Source organism: Homo sapiens, chromosome 7, assembly GCF_000001405.40.
Source record: "Homo sapiens chromosome 7, GRCh38.p14 Primary Assembly".
NCBI classification, from domain to species: domain Eukaryota; kingdom Metazoa; phylum Chordata; class Mammalia; order Primates; family Hominidae; genus Homo; species Homo sapiens.
Window position 1 is genome coordinate 95,456,840 of NC_000007.14, and position 23,823 is coordinate 95,480,662.

At 38.9% G+C, this 23,823-nt stretch overlaps 1 protein-coding gene and 1 long non-coding RNA gene across 4 annotated transcripts in view, besides 2 other annotated features; both read left to right on the plus strand.

The window, feature by feature from the left end:
• Nucleotides 13,611–14,810: an enhancer, noted in NCBI's record as "CDK7 strongly-dependent group 2 enhancer chr7:95099762-95100961 (GRCh37/hg19 assembly coordinates)". NCBI's record gives its function as "activates an origin of replication core promoter dependent on BRD2, BRD4, P300/CBP, MED14 and CDK7 cofactors, with strong dependence on CDK7, by STARR-seq in HCT116 cells {active_cell/tissue: HCT116}" and the evidence as "EXISTENCE:reporter gene assay evidence [ECO:0000049][PMID:35650434]".
• Nucleotides 13,719–13,768: an enhancer, noted in NCBI's record as "active region_26293". NCBI's record gives its function as "activates an Ori minimal core promoter by ATAC-STARR-seq in GM12878 lymphoblastoid cells {active_cell/tissue: GM12878}" and the evidence as "EXISTENCE:reporter gene assay evidence [ECO:0000049][PMID:35858748]".
• Nucleotides 13,817–23,823, plus strand: part of ASB4 (ankyrin repeat and SOCS box containing 4) — an 80,662-nt gene continuing 70,655 nt past the window's right edge. The window contains exon 1 of the mRNA XM_047420471.1: nucleotides 13,817–13,966. Within this exon, the coding sequence (XP_047276427.1) occupies nucleotides 13,960–13,966 (7 nt within the window). The 5' untranslated portion in view covers nucleotides 13,817–13,959. The remainder of the gene's footprint in view (nucleotides 13,967–23,823) is intronic.
• LOC107986823 (uncharacterized) lies at nucleotides 13,973–17,163 on the plus strand. Of its 3 annotated transcripts, none has more exons than XR_001745284.3 (3): nucleotides 13,973–14,618; nucleotides 15,047–15,223; nucleotides 16,854–17,163. It is a non-coding gene; the product is annotated as an uncharacterized LOC107986823 (long non-coding RNA). The 3 variants fall into 3 exon arrangements; XR_001745285.2 differs by having other exon boundaries at nucleotides 13,973–14,434; nucleotides 14,539–15,223; XR_001745286.2 differs by having other exon boundaries at nucleotides 13,973–14,095; nucleotides 14,316–15,223.

The window sequence follows — 23,823 nt, forward strand, 5'->3', positions numbered from 1 at the left end:
TCTAGTGTTTCTACCAATTTTTAGCAAAGGGTTGTTGAAGTCCTCAATTATAATTGTAGATTTGTTTATTTATCCTTTCATTCCTGTGAGTTTTTGCTTCATGTATTTTGAAGCCCAGTGTGCGTTGGTACATATACATTTAAGATTGTTATATTCTGTTCATGAGTTGACCCTTTTATCGTTATGTAATGCCTTGTTTTGTCCCTGGTAATTTTCTTTGTTCTGAAGTCCACTTCATCTAGTATTAACATAGCCTCTTCAACTTTCTTTTGATTAGTTGTTTGCATGGTATAATTTTTCTATTCCTTTCACCTCTAACATACCTCTATTGCTATGCTTAAAGTGAGTTTTGTAGACAGCATATAGTTGGTCATTTTTTAAAAATCCTTTTATCAATTGTTGTCTTTTAATTGGTGTTTTTGGACCATTTAGATTTAAGGTAATGATTAATATTTTATAATTTATGGATGCCATTTTTTAACTTATTTTGTTTGCTTCTTCTTTTTTTTATTTCTCTGTTTCTCCTTTCCAGTCTTCTTGTGGACTACTTGAGCACTACTTTAGTTTTCTGATTTATCTACAATATAACTCTTGAGTGTGTTGCTTCACAGTTTTTTTTTAAGCCGTTGTTCTAGGGGTTACAATTAATAGTCTACTACTATCAAGATTTTCCTACTTCCTGTGGAATATGGATGCATCACCACAATTTAGGTCATTTTACTCTCTCCCTTTATAGTTGTCTGAAAATATTCTACATTCATTGAGAACCAAAGCAGACATTATCATAAGTTTTGCTTTTAACTATTAAACACATTTTTTAAATCACAAGGAAAAAATTATTTATTAAACTTATATTTATTCTTTACATCTTTCTTCATATCTGATGTTCTTAGTTGCAACAGAACTAAGTTCTTAGTTCTGTTATCATTTTCTTTCTGTACAAACTATTTCTTCTAGCTATTCTTTTATTCTGCCGGTGATAAATACCCTTAGTTGTTGTTTTGTTGTTTTAAGTCTTCAAATGCATTGATTCTTCTTATTCTTGAAGGATATTTTCACTGGATATAGAATTCTGGGTTGACGATTCTTTTCTTTCATCACTTAAAAATGTTGTACCACTTCCTTTGGCCCTGTGATTTCTGATGGGTAATCTGCTATTATTTGAATCATTGTTGCCCTGTAGGTATTGTCATTTTCTTCTAACTGCTTTCAAGATTTTTTCTTTTGTCTTAAGTTTTCACAGTTTTGACAGTGATGTATTTGGGTGTTGATCTCTTTGGGTTTACTGTGTTTGGGGTTTTCTCAGCTTCTGGAATATGTAAGTTTGTGACTTTCATCACATTTAGGAAGTTTTTAGCCATTATTTCTTTAGGTATTTTTCAGTCTTGCATTCTTTTTTCCCTTCTTCTAGAACTTTGATGACAGAAATGTTAGATGAATTGTTATTATCTCATTGGTGTATAGGGTTCAATTCATTTTCTTCCTGTTTTTTAAATTGAACACTTCCTGTTTATTTGTCTTAAAGTTCACTGATTCTTTTTTTTTTCCACTGGGCAGCTCCAAAACCAGGATATATTCAGAGGGGCTCCCAGGTTCACTGATTCTTTCCTGGCCATCTCTAGTCTGCTATTGTGCCCACCTAGTAAATGTTTTTAAATTTAGGTTATTGTATTTTTCAGTTATAAAATTTACATTTTATTCTTCTTTATATCTTTTTTTTTCTTTTTTTGTGACATGGTCTCGCATATGTCATCCAGGCTGGAGTGCAGTGGTGCAATCATAGCTCACTGTAGCCTCTGACTCCCAGGCTCAAGCAGTCCTCCCACCTCAGCCTCCCAGGTATCTGAAACCACAGACACATGCCACCATATCTGGCTAATTTTTAAAAAATTTTATAGAGATGAGGTCTCACTATGTTGCCAAGGCTCATCTTAAACTCCAGAACTCAAATGATCCTCCTGCCTTGGCTTCACAAAGTGTTAGGATTATAGGCATGAGCCACCATGCCCTACCACATCTTCTATTTCTTTGATGATATTTTTTAATTTTTCTTTTGTTCCAAAAGTTTTCATAATTGCTTGTTAAAACACTTTTTGACAGCTTCTTGAAAACCACATTCAGACAATTACAATATCTGTGTCATCTTGGCATTAGCGTCTATTGATCATCTTTTCTCATTTGAATTTAGATTTTCTTAGTTCTTGGTATGACCAGTAATTTGGAATGTATCCTGGACATTTTGAATGTTGTTTTAAGACTCTGGTTCCTATTAAATATTCTACTTTAGCAAACTGTCGAGGTTCAAAATGCATATCCTGACACTCTTTTTGTGAGTTGCAGTGCAAATATTAGCCTAATTTAGTAAGACTTTACCATGCTACACTTCTGATCTCCTCCATTTCTGTGTTACCCAGATGACAGCACTGCATCCCACAGTCTTTTAGCACTAGCTGGATAGTTGGAGGGGTGCCACTCTTTACTACCTGGAAGACTTTAGAAGACAAGATTTTACCTACTGATTCAGCTGGTGATGGTTACCTCCACATTACTGAAGTGGGGATTATAAGTTAGAGCTCTACACATAGACTCTGTGGGCAAGCAGCATCTTCCTTTCACCTCCAGGAAAAGGCTTGAAGTCATAGTTATTCCCAAAGATTATGCAGGGAGGAGTCATGCCCATTCCTTCAAAGGACATGTAGAAGTCAGAGTTCTGCCCACAGACCCTGGAGGAAGGAGCACCTTCTTGTTACTGTGAAGAGCAGGGCAGAATACGATGCTCTGCCCACTGGTTCTGCCACTGCAGTGCCATTGTGGTGGGGGAGACATATGGTGTTTGCTTGGTATTCAACCAAAGAACAGGCAGATATGATTAAAGGGTTTTTGTCTTTGGGCTGCCTCTTTCCTCATCCTCTGGCTAGAGAAAGCTGACTTTTCTTGGGGGCTATTTTCTGTCGGTGACTACTGGTGTTTCTAGATTGTGGCTGATATGGTTTAGCTGTGTCCCACCCAAATCTCATTTTGAATTGTAGTTCTCATAATCCCCACATGTTGTGGGAGGGACCCAGTGGCAGGTAATTGAATCATGGGGGCGATTACCCTTATGTTGTTCTCGTGATGGTGAGTTCTCGTGAGATCTGATGGTTTTATAAGGGGCTTTTCCCTCTTTTGCTTGGTACTCTTCTCTCCTGATACCTTGTGAAGAAGGATGTATTTGTCCACCATGATTGTAAGTTTCCTGAGGCCTCCCCCAGCCATGTGGAATTGTAGGTCAATTGAACCTCTTTCCTTTATAAATTACCCAGCCTTGGGTATTTCTTCACAGTAGCATGAGAATGGACTAGTACAGTAAATTGGTACCACAGAGAGTGGGATGCTGCTGTAAAGATACCTCAAAATGTGAAAGCAACTTTGGAACTGGGTAACAGGAAGAGGTTGGAACAGTTTGGAGGGCTCAGAAGAAGACAGGAAAATATGGGAAAGTTTGGAACTTCCTAGCAACTTGGAGGGCTCAGAAGACAGGAAAATATGGGAAAGTTTGGAACTTCTTAGACACTTAGTGAATGGCTTTGACCAAAATGCTGATAGTGATATGGACAATGAAGTCCAGGCTGAGGTGGCCTCAGGTGGAGATGAGGAACTTGGGAACTGAAATAAAGGTGATTCTTGCTATGCAAAGAGACTGGCAGCATTTTGCCCTTGCCCTAGAGATCTGTGGAGCTTTGAAATTGACAGAGATGATTTAGGGTATCTGGTGGAAGAAATTTCTAAGTGGCAAAGCATTCAAGAGGAAGCAGATCATAAAAGTTTGGAAAATTTGCAGCTTTACAATACAGTAGAAAAGAAAAACCCATTTTCTGGGGAGAAATTCAAGCCAGCTGCAGAAAGTTGCACAAGTAATGAGGAGCCAAATGTTAATCACCAAGACAATGGGGAAAATGTCTCCAGGGTATGTCAGAGACCTTCAAAGTAGCCCCTCTCATCACAGGCCCAGAGGCCTAGGAGGGAAAAATGGTTTCCTGGGCTGTGTCCAGGGCCCCCGTGCTCTGTGCAGCCTAGAGACATGGTGCCCTGCATCCCAGCTGCTGAAGCTCCAGCCATGGCTAATAGGGGCCAATGTGCAGCTCAGGCCATTGCTTCAGAGGGTGCAAGCCCCAAGCCTTGGCAGCTTACGTGTGGAGGATGTCCAGGCAGAGGTGTGCTGCAGGGGCAAAGTCCTCATGGAGAACATCTGCTAGGGCAGTGCAAAAGGGAAATGTGGGGGGTGGAGACCCCTCACAGAGTCCCCACTGGGGCACTGCCTAGTGGATCTGTGAGAAGAAGGCCACTATCCTCCAGACTCCACAATGATAGATCTGCTGACAGCTTGCACTGTGTGCCTGGAAAAGCCACAGACACTCAATGCCAGCCCATGAAAACAGCCAGGATGGAAGTTGTACCCTGCAAAGCCACAGAGGTGAAGCTGCCTAAGGCTGTGGGGGCCCACCTCTTGCATCAGCATGCCCTGGATGTAAACATGGAGTCAAAGGAGATCATTTTGGAACGTTAAGATTTAACGACTGCCCTATTGGATTTCGGACTTGCATGGGACCTGTAGCCCCTTTGTTTTGGCCAATTTCTCCCATTTGGAATGAGTGTATTTACCCAATGCCTATACCCCCATTGTATCTAGGAAGTAACTAACTTGCTTTTGATTTAACAGGCTCATAGGCAGAAGAGACTTGCCTTGTTTCAGATGAGACTTTGGATTGCAGACTTTTGAGGTAATGCTGGAATGATTTAAGACTTTGGGGACTGTTGGAAGGGCATGATTGTGTTTTGAAATGTGAGTACATGAGATTTGGGAGGGACCAGGGTGGAATGATATGGTTTGGTTGTGTCCCCACTCAAATTTCATCTTGAATTGTAGTTCTCATAAACCCCACGTGTCATGGAAGGAAGCTGGTGGGAGGTAATTGAATCATGGGGGTGATCCTCATGCTGTTCTTGTAATAGTGAGTGAGTTCTCACAAGATTTGATGTTAAAACCATCAACTAAGTGGGGCTTAAAAGGGGCTTTTCCCCTTTTTGCTTGGCACTTCTCTCTCCTGCTGCCATGTGAAGAGGGACATGTTTCCTTCTCCTTCTGCCATGATTATAAGTTTCCTGAGGCCTCCCGTGCCATGTGGAACTGTTAGTCAATTGACCCTCTTTCCTTTATAAATTACCCAGTCTTGGGTATTTCTTCATAGCAGCATGAGAATGGACTAATATAGTGGCCTTCTCTAGCACCCAGGCCAAGGTATTTATGAGGCAACAAAATACTCAGGAAGCTCACTTCCAGGTTGTTTCTCAAGTTCTGAGGTTTCCAGCCATTTTATCTTGTTTGTTCCTCCTTTCAAAGTCTTCTCTGTGATATAAATATATATATTTTTGGTCCAGGATTCTTTCCTGTGATTAGTGGGAGGAATAAAATGGAATGTGTTTACTCCATCTTATCTGGAACCAGAAATCTCCAGAGCAGCCCCCTTTGTAATAGCTTTTTCCTATTTATGCTCTTTTATTTAAAAAAGTTCTTTTTTTTTCTAAGACATCTTGTTATAGCACCTATTTATATTTTAGCAGGATTTCCCCCCCTCATATTTACTTCCTTTAAAAAAAAAATTACCTCTGTGACAGTAAATTTTCAAATGGCTTATCTTTCTGTTATTTCTAGTTATTTAGTATTAAAACAAGAGACTTCTACATGGGCCTAGTCTGTCATCTAGAACGAGAAGATAATGAATGTTTTTCCTGTGACCTTATTTACACGTAAAAGGCTTACATAACATGGAACTCATTTAACAAATCACGCTTACTGATAATTATGAAATTATATGCAAAAAATACTAATTTTAGCAAAAATGTATGCATCAAGTAGTATTAGCATTTGAATAACTAAAACTGGGATTATTCTGGTTTTGCATATATAAAGACATACCACAAACACAAATTGAGCTATTGGATTGAGCTGCTTGTGAGAAATTAGACAGCTATTGATTTGGGAACTATTATAATGGTTGACTCCATAGCAATAGTTGAGATTATACAAAAGGTGAATGAGAAAGAGAAAGGAAAAAAATTTAGGTGAGAATCCTAAGGGAAACCCAGAGAAAAGAGAAATAAGGGAAGTCTCAGGGAGACTTTCTTTTTTTCTTTTTCTTAAGAGACAAGTTCTTGTCTTTTTTTTTTTTTTTTTTTTTTTTAAGAGACAAGGTCTTGCTCTGTCACCTTGGGTGGAGTACAGTGGCATGATCATAGCTCACTGGAACCTTGAACTCCTGGGCTCAAGCAATCCTCTTGCCTCAGTAGGGCCCACAAGTGCACACCACCACACCTGGCCTATTTTTTAAATTTTTGTAGAGTGGAGGTCTTGCTATGTTGCCCAGGCTAGTTGCTACCTCCTGGCCTCAAGTGACCCTCCTGCCTCTGCTTCCCAAAGTACTGGGATTACAGGCATGAGCCTCTGTGCCCAGCCAGGAGAACTTCTAAGATTTGTCACAGATTTAAGAGGAACACTGGAGGATCTGTGATTGCTATGGTTTGAATCTGTGTTCCCACCCAAATGTCATGTCCAGTTGTAATCCCCAATGTTGGAGGTTGGGCCTGGTTGGAGGTGATTGGTTCATGGGAGCAGTTTCTAATGGTTTAGCACCATCCCCTTAGTGCTGCTCTTGCGGTAGAGTTCTTACAAAATCTGGTTGTTTAAAAGTGTGTAGCAGCCCCTTTCTCTCTCCCTTCCTCCTGCTCTGGCCATGTGAAGATGTGCTCACTTCCCCTTCCCCCTCCACCATGATTGTAAGTTTCCTGAGGCCTCTCCAGCCATGCTTCCTGCGCAGCCTGTGGAACTGTGAGCCACTTAAACCTCTTTTCTTTATAAATTACCTAGTCTCAGGTATTTCTTTATAGCAGTGTGGGAACAGACTAATACTGTGACTTCCATATTACTTTTGATATAGAAAGAATTGAATCATTTTGAAAAGCACTCCTGGATTTATACAGGTTGTCTTCAATCTAATCATCTGTTAGAATAATTACTATAAGTTATCATTTTGCCACTGAAATGAACATGGACAGCTTGAGAAAGAAAAATAAATTATGACAGCTGTGGAGATGTAAGGATTTTAACTAAAGTGGAAAAGATGCCCTAGTGCATTAAGTAGTTGAGACAAATTATTTTATCTGATGATTGTGAGTTTTAGACAGATAGATAAAAATTTTGTAGCTTAGTAAAAAAAAAAAATCATTCTGACAGGTTTCCAACAGTCATTTTCCAATTTTCTAATAAATTTCTAAGATGAATTGGTTTATTTACTTTCTTCACCCTTGACTATACAGTTGAGCATATGAACTTAGAAATTGTCTGTTAAATCTTTTTGAGTAAGTTGAAAGCTAACACATAGCCTGCACCATTAGGTGAAGTTTAATTACTTTAAAAATTCTGAGTTACATTATTTGAACATAAATACATTTATATAATTTTTTAGTAATTACAATAACATTGGGAATGACTAGTAAAACATTACTAGAGATTCTGTTAGACCTAGATTGATAAATAAATTAAAGTGACAATTAGCAGCTTGTGAGTAAATGATGCTTGAAAACAACAAATGCAAATAGTGCTTGAAAATAATGCTTAAACATCGCCCATATTTTGTAATTATTAATTAGCAAACTACTCTTTCATAGATTGGATTAAGGCAGCTTCTCTGCGGTTAATGAAATTATCATAAATTTAAAATTAGTCTAGCCTGAATTATATTCTGTTCTAAAGTGAAAAGCTTGATTTATCTTTTACATTCTTAACACTTTTAATTTTATCCTCCTGAAACCTTCACTCAAGTCTGACGATTTTGTTACAGTTAACCTTTTTCCCCATGAGACACATCAATAGTAAGGTTGAATGAAATCAAGATTCTTTTAAATGCATTCAGAACTCATTTAAATGACTGGTGCAGAAGTTCTGTGCACCAGCTTGGAAGACATTTTTATGTTACCAATCTTGACTTACAAATATCTCAATTTCTACAAACTAGGGAAAGGTAAGACATTTTATGTTTATTGACAACAATAAGTTATTTTTCTCAATATTAAATTCTAAATGAAATCCTATAAAGAACATCTAACAAAATCTTTAGTCTACTTTATGGCTGGATGTCTTTAGGAATACTGCTACCTTCTGAATTTTCTGTTATAGGGGAAAATTAAATGACACCTCAGAAGAATCAGGAAAAGATTAATACTAAAGGATGAAATAGTTGAAAATAACACACTTGGCCCTTTTCTATTTCTTTCCAAATATGACTTTATACCTAGCATTTCAACATACAGAATTATCCTTATTATAGCCATATTTTATTCTAGGCTTACCCAGAGTGCAGCAAGGCACAACTGGGGCTGGTGTGGATGCTACTTATAAGAAATATAAATGGCATCCTCTGGAGCCTCTGGCTCCCAGGCTAGATACTGAGATGTCAAAGATCGATATGATATGCTCAGTTTAGTTAGGGAAAATGTATATAAGTAAAACTAATTTCTATGGAATCTAAAAAATGACAGAGAAATATGTTCAAAATACTATGGTAGTGCAAAAGAAGAGTTTAGAAGTCCAGAGGAATCATCCCAGACTCATGGTCTTGTTCACTTAAAAAAAAAAAATTTCTGAGACAGGGTCTTGCTCTGCTGCCCAGGCTGGAGTGCGGTGGCATGGTCATAGCTCACTGCAGCCTTGAACTCCTGGCTTCAAGCAATCCTCCCTCCTTAGCCTCCTGAGTGGCTGGGACTACAGGCACATGCCACTATGCCTGGCTAATTTTTAAAAATTTTTTTAGAGATGGAGTCTCACTATGTTGACGAGGCTGGTCTTGAAATCCTGTTCTCAAGTGATCCTCCCACCTTGCTTGTTTGCTTTTAAAGACAACCAAGGCCAGGTGCAGTGGCACTTACCTGTAGTCCTAGCTACTCGGGAGATTGGAGTAAGAGGATTGCTTGAGCCCAGGAGTTCAAGGCTGCAGTGCACTACAATTGCAACTATGAGTAACCACTGTACTCCAGCCTAGGCAACATAATGATACCCTGTTTCTGAAACAAACAAACAAACAAACAAAAAGACAACTGAATGCAAGTCTTCCCAATTAGAATAGTGCAATTTAAGTATGATAATAAGCTGCCATTTACTGGACTCTTATCATGTCCTAGGCCCTATATCAAGTATTACCACCATGCTTTAATCAACTGAGCTATCCAGCCACCTTGGTTATGCCAAGTATTTAATGTCCCCTGCTTTTTATATAATTCATACAACAATCTCATGTCATCAGTATTCTTATCATCCCTATTCTACTTATAAAGATTTTGGAGTTTCAAGAGATAAAATAGCCAGTCAAAGCCACACAGTTCTAAGAGGTGAGGTAATGAGATGGGGAGTTGGGTTTAAAAGGTGAGGGCGTACAGCAGGGACCCTTTAACATGATAGAATGTTTATAGTGCGTGATCACTGTGTAGGGAATGGGTACATTATGACCAAGTTTAGATTTATGGACTATTCAAATATATTTTTAGGAAGCTAAGAAAAATGAAAGAAACCAAATCCAGTCCTGAGGAGTCCTAAGTCTAGTTTGGGAAAATGGATATTTGTAAACATAATTTTTATGGAATCCAAAAACAACAGTGAAATATGTTCAAAATACTATGGTTGTGCAAAGGAAGACATTTTTATCTTACCACCCTTAACTTATAAAGAAGTCAATTTATACAAACTAAAAAAAGAAGACATTTTATGTTTATTGCCAGTGTATTAGTCCATTTTCATACTGCTATGAAGAAATACCCAAGACTGGGAAATTTATAAAGAAAAAGAGGTTTAATGGACTAACAATTCCACATGGCTGGGGAGGCCTCACAATCATGGCAGAAGACAAAGGAAGAACAAAGGCAAGTCTTACATGGAGGCAGGCAAGAGAGCATGGTGCAGGGGAACTCTCTTTATAAAACTATCAGATATTGTGAGACTTATTCACTATCATGAGAACAGCATGGAAAAACCTGCACCCATGATTCAATTACCTCCCACCGGGTCCCTCCCATGACACGTGGGGATTATGGGAGCTACAATTCAAGATGAGATTTGGGTGGGGACACAGCCAAACCATATCAGCCAACAATAAGTTATTTTTCTAGAACCACAAAATAATGATTTTTTTCTGTGAACTTATATATACGTAAACAGCTTACCAAATGTAAAAATTAAGTTACTTAAAACTCATTTAACAAATCATGCTTATTGAGAATATAAAATCATATGCAAAGAAATACTAATTTCAACAAAAATATATGCATCCATTAATACAGCATTTATTAATGTTAGAGGCAGTGGTTTTTGTGGCAATAGTATAGCCTACTGCTACCCTCTTCATATCTGGATACAAATCCTGACTCCACCAACACAGCTTGTGTGACCCTGAGAAAGTTACTTAATTTCCGAACCCTTATTCCTTTTCACGAAAATAGATGAATTACTTTTTGTGAAAGCTCAGTAGTGGATGGGTGGGGTGTGGGGAAAAAAAGAAAACTCAGTAGTAAGCACTTGATAAATGTTAAATTTCTTACTATTGGCGTCAGGGAGTGGGATAGGGTATGCTAGAGGACAGAGATCACAAGTCCTCAGAAACATTGTAAAATTGTGTGTGTGTGTGTGTGTGTGTGTATGTATGTGTTTATAGACCTATACAGAAGATGTGAACTTACACCTACACACATGTGCAAAAACATATTACTTAATACATTTTAAATCAAATTTAACTTGATCTCAAGCCACCGTTGTGTCTTGGATGGGAGAAAATCTAAGCTCAGTCATTGCTGATACTCTCCTAGCCCCACCTGTGGGCAGTGCAAAGGTTCCTGAACTTTCCAGCGGGGCTTGCATAAATGGATTGTAGTCTATGCTCTGCACAACCTTAGGGTCACCATTCACATCTCAAGAGGCTTGACCACATTCTTGGAGCAGGAGAGAGGAAAACTCCAGCATGAAACAACTCACCAATTAACATTTCAATAAATTATGCAGCCACATACATTTTTTTTTGAGGGAAGAAGAGAGCCCATACCTTTCATTAGATTCTCAAAGCAAAGAGGGAGCCTGATTTGATCCAGCAAAAGAGATGGGTGTCAAACCTCTGTGCTCCACAAAGCAGGAAAACATCACATTTGCATTGATTATAGAGCCTTTTCATAGTGCTGACACATCTATGAGCTTTGAGTGGCCTCATTATTTTTTTATTAAATTGGGTTGGGGGGGGCCCCATTCAACCTAAATGCAGATGGAGTCATTGTGAATGAACTGCAATATACACAATAGGTAATAAATTCTGGGAAATGAAATCTGTCATCAGTCCACTCTTTTACACAACAAAAACCAAGATGGGGTATAACACTGAGACTTGAGGCAAAAAAGTCTCCAGGATAAAGAGGCAGAAATTGCATTCATTGACTTGTAAAGCATGTGGGGGGGCCTCTTCTATGAACAGAACAGGAAAGGGCCAGTACTAATTCAGTAAAAAGTATGTAAAACCACTGAACAGAAGACCATGCATGTAATGGAGGGAGCTTGTGGAACGCACAATGGTTTCACAAATAAATGTGGACACCTGAATGGTAACATCATTATCAGCCACATCTTCAAATACAGGGAGAGAGAAAGCACTTTCAGAAGAGTAGTAGGAAAAACACTCAAGTTAATGAAGAAACCCTGCACTAAGTCATATCTGTCATTTTAAGTGCTCATTACAATGATTATTTTTAACCGTCATTTAATTTTGTACAAAATTCAATTGATCAGACATAGAGCCATGATTAATCACTTGTGTATGACTAGACGTAAGTGGGTACTAATGAGCAGTAAACGCATGTCCAAGTCCTGTTTTTAGCATTGTTCTTACAATAAGTAGCATCCACTTTCTGCATCTCATTGCCTTTGGATGAATCTGGAAATCCCTGTTTTGTGACAGTTCAATTTAGTCTTTTGTTGCTTTGATTCCAGGGTTCTTTAAAAATTTTAAAAAATCAGTGCTCTTAGAGTTTTTGAACATGTTGTACAATCATACTTTCCATTTCTTTATCAGTACAAAAAATAATTTATCTGTAAGAGAGTTGAAGTTTCTTCACCAGTGTATGGGCAGCATGGGGCAATACAAAGTTCATTCCATTTGTTTGGAGCTGGGCAGATTTAAATTATATAAGTTGTGTCTTCATTTGTTAAATGGGAAAGCAGTGTCTACCTTACAGTGCTACAGGTAATATCAGTTAAATGTCTGTCACAGTGTTAGAATACACTCAGTACATAACAGTTGTTCTGTTGCTTCAAAGTAAAATTATAAAACAACTGACATGCAGACAATTTTATCTTGTGAGTTCTGGAATGATAGAATTTTTGAGGTCAAAAGGCCCTCAGATGAGGAAACTGAAGGCCTGAGGAGGCAAAAAGACTTGCTAAGATCAAACATTTAGTTTTCCTCATTCAATAACAATTTGTTGAATGAAAGAATAACATTACATCATCACCAGAAACCAATTTCCTATGTGTCAGGTAATGATCTGTCTCCTACAAGTGTGGCCTGTGACCTACATGTGACAATGTAAAATGTTAAATGTGAACAGGAATGAGAAAATTTTCCATTTTTTATCGGAAAATATGTATTGATTGCACTTCATGCTTAACTAATTTCACTTGTTTATTCAATTAAAAATGGCATTGATTTATTGTTTCAATCAATTGCCTACTTATACTTTTATAATTATTATATATTACATATTAAAGAAAAGGAGTAAGTCATATGGCTTATTATGAGAACAACAGTAATGCATTTAATTGTTGGTTCATTGCTCGTTCATAAAAAATAAAGTTATTGGAAATAAATTCGTTAGTATATAATGCAGCTCATTTGGCATACTTTATACGCTCAGAATTGAGTAAGTTCTATTTTCCGTTATATCAGTCTTATCAGATTGATGTAAGAAAAATACTTAAATGGCGGATTTTCATATAAAAGAAGAAGGCATTATGATGTATGAATTTTTAAATAGTGGTTTCCGAGAAATTGCACTGTGGCAGTCCTGCCTTCCTGGGGTTATTCAACAGCACTTCAGCTTATATAATTACCACACATGCCTCCTGTACAGAGCCCACGAGGCTCCCAGGTCGGTCACCATGGCAACAGATTCTGAATGGAGTAGCCCCATCCTGATACTGTGCATAGAGCCTCTTCCTGGAAAAAGTTTTATTTTTTAAATTTAAACACATTCTCCCAAATTACAGATATACAGTTTCAGAGTACTTGTTCCAGTTTTCTTATAAGTGTAATGTGAACACTAAATGTCCAGGCACACACAATTTCTTGAATAACAAAGGAAATATAAAGCAAACATTTAAATACAGATTGCCTTTTCATTCTGAGCACCATTTTGAAAAGAAGAGGAAAATAACCTTTCAGAATAAAAAACACCTGAAGGAACAGCTATGGGAGGAAATCAGCTCTCTTTGATCATTTGCTGCAATAGGAACTTTTATGCTTTTTTTAAAAAAAACTCTTAATCCATAGATCTAAGCAAATAAAATGCAATTTTTCCATTAAAAATGTTTTAAAAGAATGAACAAACACTTGTAGACAGGGCCACTTTGATAAATCTTGTGCAATAAAAGTATATTTTTATCAATAAAGTGGAAAGTACACATATTTGCTCAAGATTCTCTGTCCGCCCCCACACCTCCAGGAGGTCGGTAAGAACTCTCTGAAGCTGTGGTGTCAGATCCTTTCTCATTTCCTGTTTGCTGTTTGGACAGGCCTGGCAGCTGTGGCGACTGAATCTAAGAAGAAAGGCTGATAATGCTCTGGCTGGTTTCATAATAGGACTTTTCAAGGCACTGTCCCATCCATTAACTCATTTGAAATGAAAGGTAGGGTTTTCTTTTTTCCCCCCATTAGGAAAGATACTTACATGTTTTATTCAAAATTCTTTTAAGCCACCACCAAAGAAGAGAAAGAAATTAACATAATAACTCTCCGGGTGGTTCCCTGTTTACAAAGTAAGTTTAACTTTTACTTTGTTTTCCTTCAGAGCCCTAAATTCAACTCCTACTTTATTCCATATTTCCATTTTCAGTCATCCTTGATGCCTGAAATGATTTAGTTGATGCCATATTGATTTCGTTCTTGTTTGCTTCCTCAAAATGTTTCTCATTTTTCTGTCCCCTTGGCTCATTTCTAAGTGTGTTTTCTAATGTCCATATCCTGCACAATTGCCAGCAGCACCATGACCTAGGGAGGACCCTCATTATGAACTGCATTCTACAGGAAAAAAGACGCACGTCCCCTTCAAATGATGTGGCTTGCCCCATGGAAAACAGAGTTGGTGTCTGAGTCAGGTTTGCTTCCCCAGAGCTCCAGGGCCATTGCTATTGTCCTCTTTCCTGCACGCTTCCTCATTTGCAAAACAATGTGAATTCTGTTCTTGCCCTTATAATTAAAGGAAAAATGAGGATGATCAAGAGTGGTTGCTTCAGGGACCTTCCACACTGCTAAGGCCACCTCTATTTTTCCAGACTCCAGGTATATTTTAAAATGAAGACATGTCAAAATAGGTTTCTGTTGTAGTTAAAATGTTTACACCTATTAGCAATTATATTTGTATGAGAGTTGAAGGCTCTTCCAACACTGTCAGTGTACTTCTGTGACAGTATGTATCTAAACTCATTTGGAAATAAACAATAATTGTCTAATTTTGGCCCTTAATTGAGGTCCTAGCTTAATGCCCTCTTTTCTCATAAAGGAATGCCCTTACATGAACATTAGGACTTTAGAGGACAGCAGTGGTGGCAACAGTGGAGTTGACTGCAGCTGGGGCAAAGGTAGCAGGTTAATACCAGCTAACACCTCCAGAGCATTTGCCATGTGCCAGGGACAATGCTAAGTATTTTATGTGTGCTAACACTATGCTTTCTTAGGCAGGTACTATTATTATCTGCTTTTTTTAACAGATGAAGAAACCGAGCCACACAGAGGTTAAATAACTTGCCCAAGGGTGCACAACTACTAGTAGTATTGAGTCTATACGCTTAAGTATTGTGCTATTCCATTTCTTACTGAATACAAAGCAAAAAAACATAAGGATCAGAGGAGGAGTGTGAGTGTCCTCATACTCACAGCAAAAGGAGGTCAGTGGGTGTGTGTGGTGGTGGGAGGGGACTTACAATATCAATAATGACACTAGGTGGGGGCTCAGTAGCTCATGCCATTTTGATTATCTACCAATGTGTGGGTGTCCCCAGGCTGAAGGAATTGGGTTAACAAGGTTTATATCTGCACTTACATTCTTTCCCCAAAAATGTGTCCAAAATTGAAAGTGCCATTTTTCAATGACACATAGAATCTGGGCAGTAGCACAGGACCCTGTGTTCAGAATGACCAGATGCTTAGACGAATGATCTGTTGCCGCCATCTTGAAAATCTCAATACTATTTGAACAAATCTCAATAATATTTGAACATTTTGCACTGGGCCCTGCAAATTATGTACCTGGTCCTGTGTGGAATTCTGGGCAATTTGTACACACTAGTAACTCCAATCTGCCGGGGGAAACAAGGTTCTATCTCCCTGTGATTCCTGTGGAACTGCAGTGCTATAAATCTGCAGTTGCCTGTTAGTGGATTTGCATTTTACTGCAATGTAATACTTTTCCTCACAGGGAAAAGCAGTCTACTCTCACTAATAGGGGTTTTAATGATGCTCTGCCAAGGTCCACGTGCATAGCCTCAAGCAAAAAGGCTCAGGACAGGCTCTGAATTCCACAGCAGGGTTAACTACAAGGGAGCTTCTTTGCAGTATGATAAAACGCGGTTAACCTCAGCTGGATTTGCAGCTAGCCCCAAGGAGCACTCCTCAGGAGCAACACAGGTCTATGTATAACATTTCAGCTCTGGTCCACCCAGAAACGTGCACTTCCCATCCCACGGTGTTTGCATAATTTAGGCATGCTATAGTTAAGATTTGCCAAAACTTGTAGAGAAAAATCAAACTGTCTCAGTACAAGGAAACCAAACTGCTAAATCCTCTATTTCCTCTCTCCACGCTCCAGCAGTTTGGCAGTAGAATAAATGATTGCTCACCAGTGGCAAGTTTCCATGGAGTCGGTAGCTCCTAATATCTTTTCTGAAGGGACGGGCAGTGAGCTGATTTTCTCCACCAGGGAAGTAATGATCCTAATGAGCAGAAACTAGGAGAGAAAAAAAGTCAAATTCTCAAAGAAGACAAAAAGGGAATTTCTCACCTCTATCCGTCAGAGGAGTCAGAGCTTTCCCATTCAAGGAGACCTGTCGGATTGCACTGAATTAATCATGATAGCTAACATCTTCTAGCATTTACTATGCCCTAGATACCCTTGTAAGGGCTTTACACATGTCAACTTAGTTAATCCTCACAAGAACCCAATGAGGTATTATTATTATCTCCATTTTAGACGTGAAGGACCCAAGGCACAGAGAGGGTAAGCAGTTAAGTCAGGAGAGCAGCTGCCTGGCTGTGAGAGCCACAGGTTTATCCAGGACAATAACAAGCAGTGATGAGTTCCCAGCGGAGCCTGGCTGGGTGTGCAGCTGCTAGACCTCGTACTGTTTGTCCTTACAATAAATCCCCATTAATGAGGGAAGCACGATTGGTCTCCCTTGCTCTTGCAACCTGAAAGAGCCTATAGAATACAGATGCCATTGTGAATGCTTTTGTAATTTGGAGATTCCTTTTTTTTTTTTTTTAATCAACGGAATAATCAGCCTCTTCATGTATCCATAGGGAATTCAGGAGAGGATTGAAGAAGCGGTTCCTGTTTTTGAGGCATTTGCAATCATTGCTGGAGAGACAGAACCAACAGATGGGGAACAATGGTCAGGGACTCCAGGCCTGATTTAAGCCAATGCCGCCCTGTGGTCTTTACCCACGAATGGTGTGGAAAATGAGAGCAGGGAAGAGGATTTACTCACTGGCTGTGGAGTTAGGTCAGAAGGGGGATGGAAAGAAGGAACCGGATGGCTTTGGGGACATTTCTTAATCTTTAGGCTTCACCTTCCTTAACTGAAAATAAAGCCATAAGTTACCTCCAGAACTCTTTCAGCCTTAACATTCAATGAATCTCGATCTTTTCTGTAAAGCTAGATTTTTATGTGTGGTATTTGCTAAAAGTTGGGGCGCACCCTTACTTGATCTGGCCCAGACTATAGATCACATGAAGATCACATTAAATCAGGTCGAAAGACTTTTCTGACTTCAAATTAGCGAATATGCATATGTGCTGAACTTTAGTCTTTTCCTTTTCTTGAACATTCAGTTTAATAATTGTCTCTGCCATTTTACACATTTATTTTTCTTGGCTATTTATATTTTCCTTTTGGGGAGGTCAAATATAAAAATAGGATATACATGGACTGTAGCAGTTGATAATAACTTGTGTGCTTTGATTTTTTAAAGAACCAAAATTTACCAAAAGGGATCTTGCTCACTTATCAATTTGTTTTTTTTATATCTCTGTTTTTGTACATATCTTTTAAGTTATTCCAGACCCTGACAACTGGACACCTGGTTATGATTGCAGAATGTGCAGTTTAAAATCCTATTTTAAAACTTAGTTTTTGTTTTTCTTTTTGAGACAGGGTCTCATTCTGTCATCCAGGCTGGAGTGCAGTGGTGCAATCACGGCTCACTGCAGCCTTAACCTCCTGGGCTCAAGCAATCCTTCTACCTCAGCCTCGTGAGTAGCTGAAACTACGGGCACATGCCACCATGCCAGGCTAATTTAAAAAAAAATTTTTTTTAGAGATGGGTGTCACCATGTTGTCTAGGCTGGTCATGAACTCTTGGGGCTCAAGCAGTCCTGCCTCAGCTTTCCAAAGTGCTGGAATTATGGCATGAGCCACCATGCCTCATCTAAAAATTAGTTTTTATATCATTATGCATACCATGTTTTCAACAGTAAAATGGTTTTACCCCAAATAGGCATGTAGTTAAGGTAAAAATTATCTGATGTTACTGATCATTGAGATTTAGAAACAGTAATTAAGGAGGAGGGATTCAGGAGATACTTTTGCAATATGATCCTTAGGATGAGGTGGCTTTCTATACCCTGGCAAATGTTCTGTAGAGCCTATAGACAAGCTGTTTTTTATGTATAGTGCCTAGACCAGCAACACTGGCATTTAACAAGAACTCAGATCTCACTCATACTCTGTCAGGTGTGACCCAGCAGTCTGTGTTGTAACAAGCCCACCAGAGGACTCTGAAGTACCGAAAAATTTGAGAAGTGCTGTCATAATCCAGGCTGTCAATAGAATAGGTAGGGTCATATACTATACACTCACTACACTATAGCCAATGACCATCTTTCCTTACATAGTCCCTCCCCACGCCCACCTGGATGTAGAATTTAGAAGTAAAATCACAACCTAGAATATTGGCAGTGGTCAGTGACTCCCCATTGCAGGTTGAATTTAATTAATTAATTATTTTTTGAGATGGAGACTGGCTTTGTCACCCAGGCTGGAGTGCAGTGGCTCAATCTTGGCTCACTGCAACCTCCACTTCCCAGGTTCAAGCAATTCTCCTGCCTCAGCCTCCCGAGTAGCTGGGACTACAGGTGCGTGCCACCACACCTGGCTAAGTTTTGTATTTTTAGTAGAGATGGGGTTTCACCATGTTGGCCAGGCTGGTCTCAAACTCCTGACCTCAGGTGATCCACCCACCTCAGCTTCCCAAAGTGCTGAGATTACAGGCATGAGCCACCGTGCCCGGCCTTGAATTTATTTAATAGCTAAATTGCTCTACTTGCATTCAAGGTCTTCTGTCTTTATAAAACCAAATCATGTATTCCAGTGTCATCTTCTATTTTTCCTGCTCATATTCTTTATCTTTTAGTAAAATTAGATGGCCATTCTCTCCCCCATCTCTAATCCTTGCCATGAGCTGGCAAGGTTGTGAAGAATCTTTACTTAGTTAAGATTTATGGGGTGCCTTCCTAAATGGCATCACAGTGTAAACAAAGAAATCAAATCACCTGAACTTTTCGGTCTCTATATATCAAGATCCCAAGATCCTATTTCAAATACCATTTCCTCTGTGAAATCTTTCTTGATTCCTCAAACCGAATGGTGTGATCTTTCCTTTTTATAATGCCAGCTCCCTGTGTTTCGTATTTCTGGCACAGTAGATTCTGGTCTGCCTTATTGTATAACCAGTATGGTCTAATTTCATTCGTCTATAAGTTCTTGAGATTGGGGCTGAATCCTACACATCTGTCGGTCCCTACTACACCTATCACAGTGTCAGACACCTAATAATAACTCAGTCAATAGTGTTCAAATTGTGGTATGCAGCGGCAAGGCTTCCAGCCCAGCCCAGAGTCATCGGATAGCTTTCAGCCAAGGCTGTTAGCTGTGTGAGGTAGGTGCGTATTGCATGCTTGTCCCAAAATATTCTCTTGCAGGTGACTGACATTCTTTTTTATATTTAAAAAAAAATTTATAGAAAGCTCACAGCCCATGTTTAAAATACAAAATTCACCTATGAGAAATCAAGAAATGGAAGGAAGATCTAGAGGACAAGCCTAGCTCTTTTACCCCCTGGAGCAATCAAGGGGCAGCTACAGACACTAGAAAAGACCAGGGCTGGGAAACGGGAACAATATCTTTGATTTCACAGTCTTGCCTGGGGCCTTGACTGACAGTAGCTGCTGCTTTAACCTCCATCTGTGGCTTCACGCCTTTTTAGAAAGGACTCAGGAAATCACACTCTGGTCTTATAGGGAATATTTTCAGCCTAGGAGAAAAATTGTGAGCATGAGAAGCAAGCTTGTCTTGCTTTCCCACACCCAAAGACAGAGACTCATAAGACAACGGTCTGTAAAGAATCTGGAGACACATGGTATGAAACATTTTTAGCTTATTATTTTGAATGTTCTTCTTAATACCATTGTAGCAAAAACAAACAATAAAGGGACAACCCACTCCTCCTCCAAACAATGTTTAATTTATGTATTTGTTAGATACATATTGAAATTTATTTTATGAAATCATAAACCAATAGCAAATTCTCAGTAGAGAAATTCATTGTAGGAAAATATGATCAGGAAAGATATGGTTTACGTGGATTAAAACAAAATTTTTAAAATCCATATTTGTGGTTTAACCTGGATCACGTTTTATCCGCATTGGCTTGGATTTTTTTTTTTTCCCCAGGATACTGCAGCTGTTCTTCCGGGTTCATTTATCGAGGAACACTGCCATCATGTGGCCTGACGTGTTAACACAGTCCCTAAAAGACAACTAGCAGCACGGTTTTAATTTTGATTCTCTCTCTAGAAAAACGTTTGTGGCTTTAAAATGTGCTTCGTTATTTGAAGCTGTGTTTGTTAATACCTTTCTGAAATGGCATCCTTAAAATATTTGCCAAAGGGTCAACTCTACGTCACCTTTTGAATTTCTCAAGTATATAGTTATCACATCAAAAAATATATAAAATAATAATTGAACATTGCTCATTTTATAAATTTGTCAAGTTTTCACAAATTTATCTACTGTAAAAAGAGTGGAATGCTTTGCTTATATACACTAGTGTGGCTGCTTATTTTTTCTTTACACTATCAGTTTAGGGAGAGGAGATGCAAAACTATAGAAAACTACAGAAAGGCAGCGTTGTGTAGTTCAAAAACTAAAGTATGAAGCTTGACATTAGGTTGGAGACTTCGCTTTGCGACTAATTAATTATGCAATTTTGTGCAAACATGTAAGTGAGATGGCCTCAGTACTTTTTTTCTTAAATGAGAAGATTTGATACCCTTAACAAGAACCTTTTTTTTTTTTTTTGCTATAATTCTGTGATTCTACAAGCAAAATTAAGTTCTTTTAAAAAGCAAGAGTGTTGTTTCTCTTTAGGTATACTATTTTTCTATGGTTTTCTGAAAATATGTGCCCCCTTTCTCTCCACTCCTCTTTCCCATTCCTAACTGCAGCTTTGTCTGCAAATTTGTTGTGCAATTTTTTTTTTCCTGCAATATCCCATAGTTTTGGTGTTGTGTTGAGGATTGCTCCTTCATGAATTAGATACTTCCATAGTATAAAATAAAACTGATGAATCTTTGCAATTGGTAAACAACTTATTGGCTTCTGACAACTGTGGGTGTAAAAAGAACGTTACAGAGGACAGTCCAATTTCTTTACCCCTTAAAAGGGAAGGATAATTTTTTTTTCTTACTGCACCTCTGCATCATAAATTTGTCAAAAGTAAAAAGAGGATGCAAATGCTGCCTGGAGTACAATTGTGAGGTAAATGTTCTGAAGAGACAAAATTATGGTAAATTATTCCCTCGAGTTGATGTTGTGAAGTGTGTAACTGGGTGAGGGATGGAAATACAAGCTGGTGTTGATGTTTAAACTGTGCTGGACGGCGTGTAAATGCAGGTCAGTTGCTAGGAGACCTGGAACACAGAGCTAATGCCCCCTCTGTGGGGCAGGGATGTTTGATCTGAAAAAACCTTGTCTTTCACAGTCAAAGATGACGTGAAATGAATAGTCTGTCAAAATTCAGGTGGGCCAGTGCTTGGTTACTGCTTATGTCAATCCAGCCATTCTGACATCCACCACCTGTAAAGAGAGTCGCTGAAACGGAACAATCTAGCATCGTGCCAGCGACCAAGATTCTCCGGAAACACTCAGGGTAATTAGCTACGAATTCTTTAAATACTCTTACATGAAAGGCAGCTGGTTTGTTCGCTGATATGGGATCCAAGAAGTGGGCAGTAGCGGCTAAATAATTACTTCAGCATTCCAAAGAGAGGGATGCCAGGCCACAAATAGAGTTCCAAGCGAAGATGTGCTTGCGTAGGACTTTGGACCCTCCCGTTTACAAAGCAATCATTTCTGCCATTTGTGAGGATTGTTGAACAGATTTTATGTTAAACACACATGCTCCCAGTATGTAATTACAATTGAGAATGAATACGCCGAACTTTAGCGCTGAAGCATCTTAGCAGTTCTTCCAGCGCCCCCAACTGCTTGAAGACAGAACCTGAATCAGTCTGTGGACAAGGGCAGCCCATAACATGGCTGCCACAGGGAAGACTTTCAAAAAATCTCAGCAAGGTCTTCTGCCCTTGCAAAATGGTATTAATCTTTGCCAATGTCCAGGACACTGTGTTCCATAAGGGAGAAAAAAGCCCTAAAGGCTGAGGAGTGTGTCTAGTAGGTCTCATTTTACTTACAGGAAAAGAAGTCACTGAGAGGTATTTTGAATTATTTGAAACACACAGCTTATGACCACCAGAGCTGGGAATACGATCCAGGTGTCTCAGTCTGACGGTCTTTCACCATAACACCACTTAGTATTTCTCAGGAAAAATTGTGATGTTCTATTAGTCCACTGATATGAACAACAGTAATAATATGTAACTCTCCTATAATGCTTCACAATATGCAAAGTACGTTTATATACGTTGTTTCATGTGATTTTTACAACCCTGGTAATTATTCTTATGAAATAGTATGCTTAGTCCACAGAATTGATCTGTATTGTTATAAAAGTATAGTTTTAATTGTACTAGCTTGCTGGCTCTTTATTATAATATTGTGGCCATGCCCCCAAATCAAGATGGCCTCTGGGAATAGATCATTGAAATCCTAATGTGGTTTGAAAATTTTTTGTGTGTTTGCCCCACTTTTTTGTGTTAAATATTGAATATCCACTGATAAAATATGCACTTTATTGCTTGTCTACAGAAGAAACAAAACTATCATCAATTATAAGCCATTTTGGAGAACCTACTATGTATCAGGCCTAGAACACAGCAGATATGAGGATGCTGTTGTGGGTTTAGCTTTGAGAGAATTGGACTTGGGTTCAAGAAGTAGAAGAAAGGAAATAAATGCATATTCATCAGTTATACTCCTAAGCTTCATTGAGCTTCAAAAATATCTGAAAAGAGGTGCAGGCATCTGAATAGGATGGCTTCCTGGTGTCCCTTCCTGTTTCTTGTCTCAGGGTCTTAGAATCTGCTGCTCCCATGGCCTAGAAATCTCTTTCCCTAAATATCAGCATAGCTTATTCCCGCAATTCAAGTTTTTGTTCAAGGCAAGTGAATACTTCTCTGACCATTTATTTGAATTTGCAGTGCTTTCCAGGGCCATAACACCTTCCCAGGACCAACCTGGAAGTGGAGGAGACTTTTCTTACTTGTTGGTCCACAGGAGCACACCTTGTTCTGATCTATACAAGGGTGGCTTATGGTGTGGCTGCAATCCTAGACCTTACCCAGTTTACTTTTCTTGGTAGCACATATTACCATGTGACAAACTATATATCTTACTGTCTGTTTTTTTGTCTGTTCCCTTGTAGCCCCTCCACTGGTATAAAAGCTCCATAAAGGTAAAGATTTTAACATGCTTTCTTTGTGTATCTGCAGTACTTATAAAAAGTACAGGTGGTAGCTAAGATGGACCCCATTGATTCTCACTTCCTGGTTTTCACACCTTTAACAAAATCCTCTCTCACTCTGAATCAGTGCTAGTCAGTGTGACCATAGGATATGATAGAAACAGTGGTATATGACTTCCTAGGTTAGGTCACAAAAGATGTTGCAGCTTCCAACTGGCTCTCTTGGATCTTTCATTCTGGGAGAAATCAGTTACCATGTTGTGAGGATACTCAAGCAGCCAATGGAGAGAACTACATGGACACAAACCACATAACCAGCATCAACTTGTTAGCTAAGTGACTGAGCCAC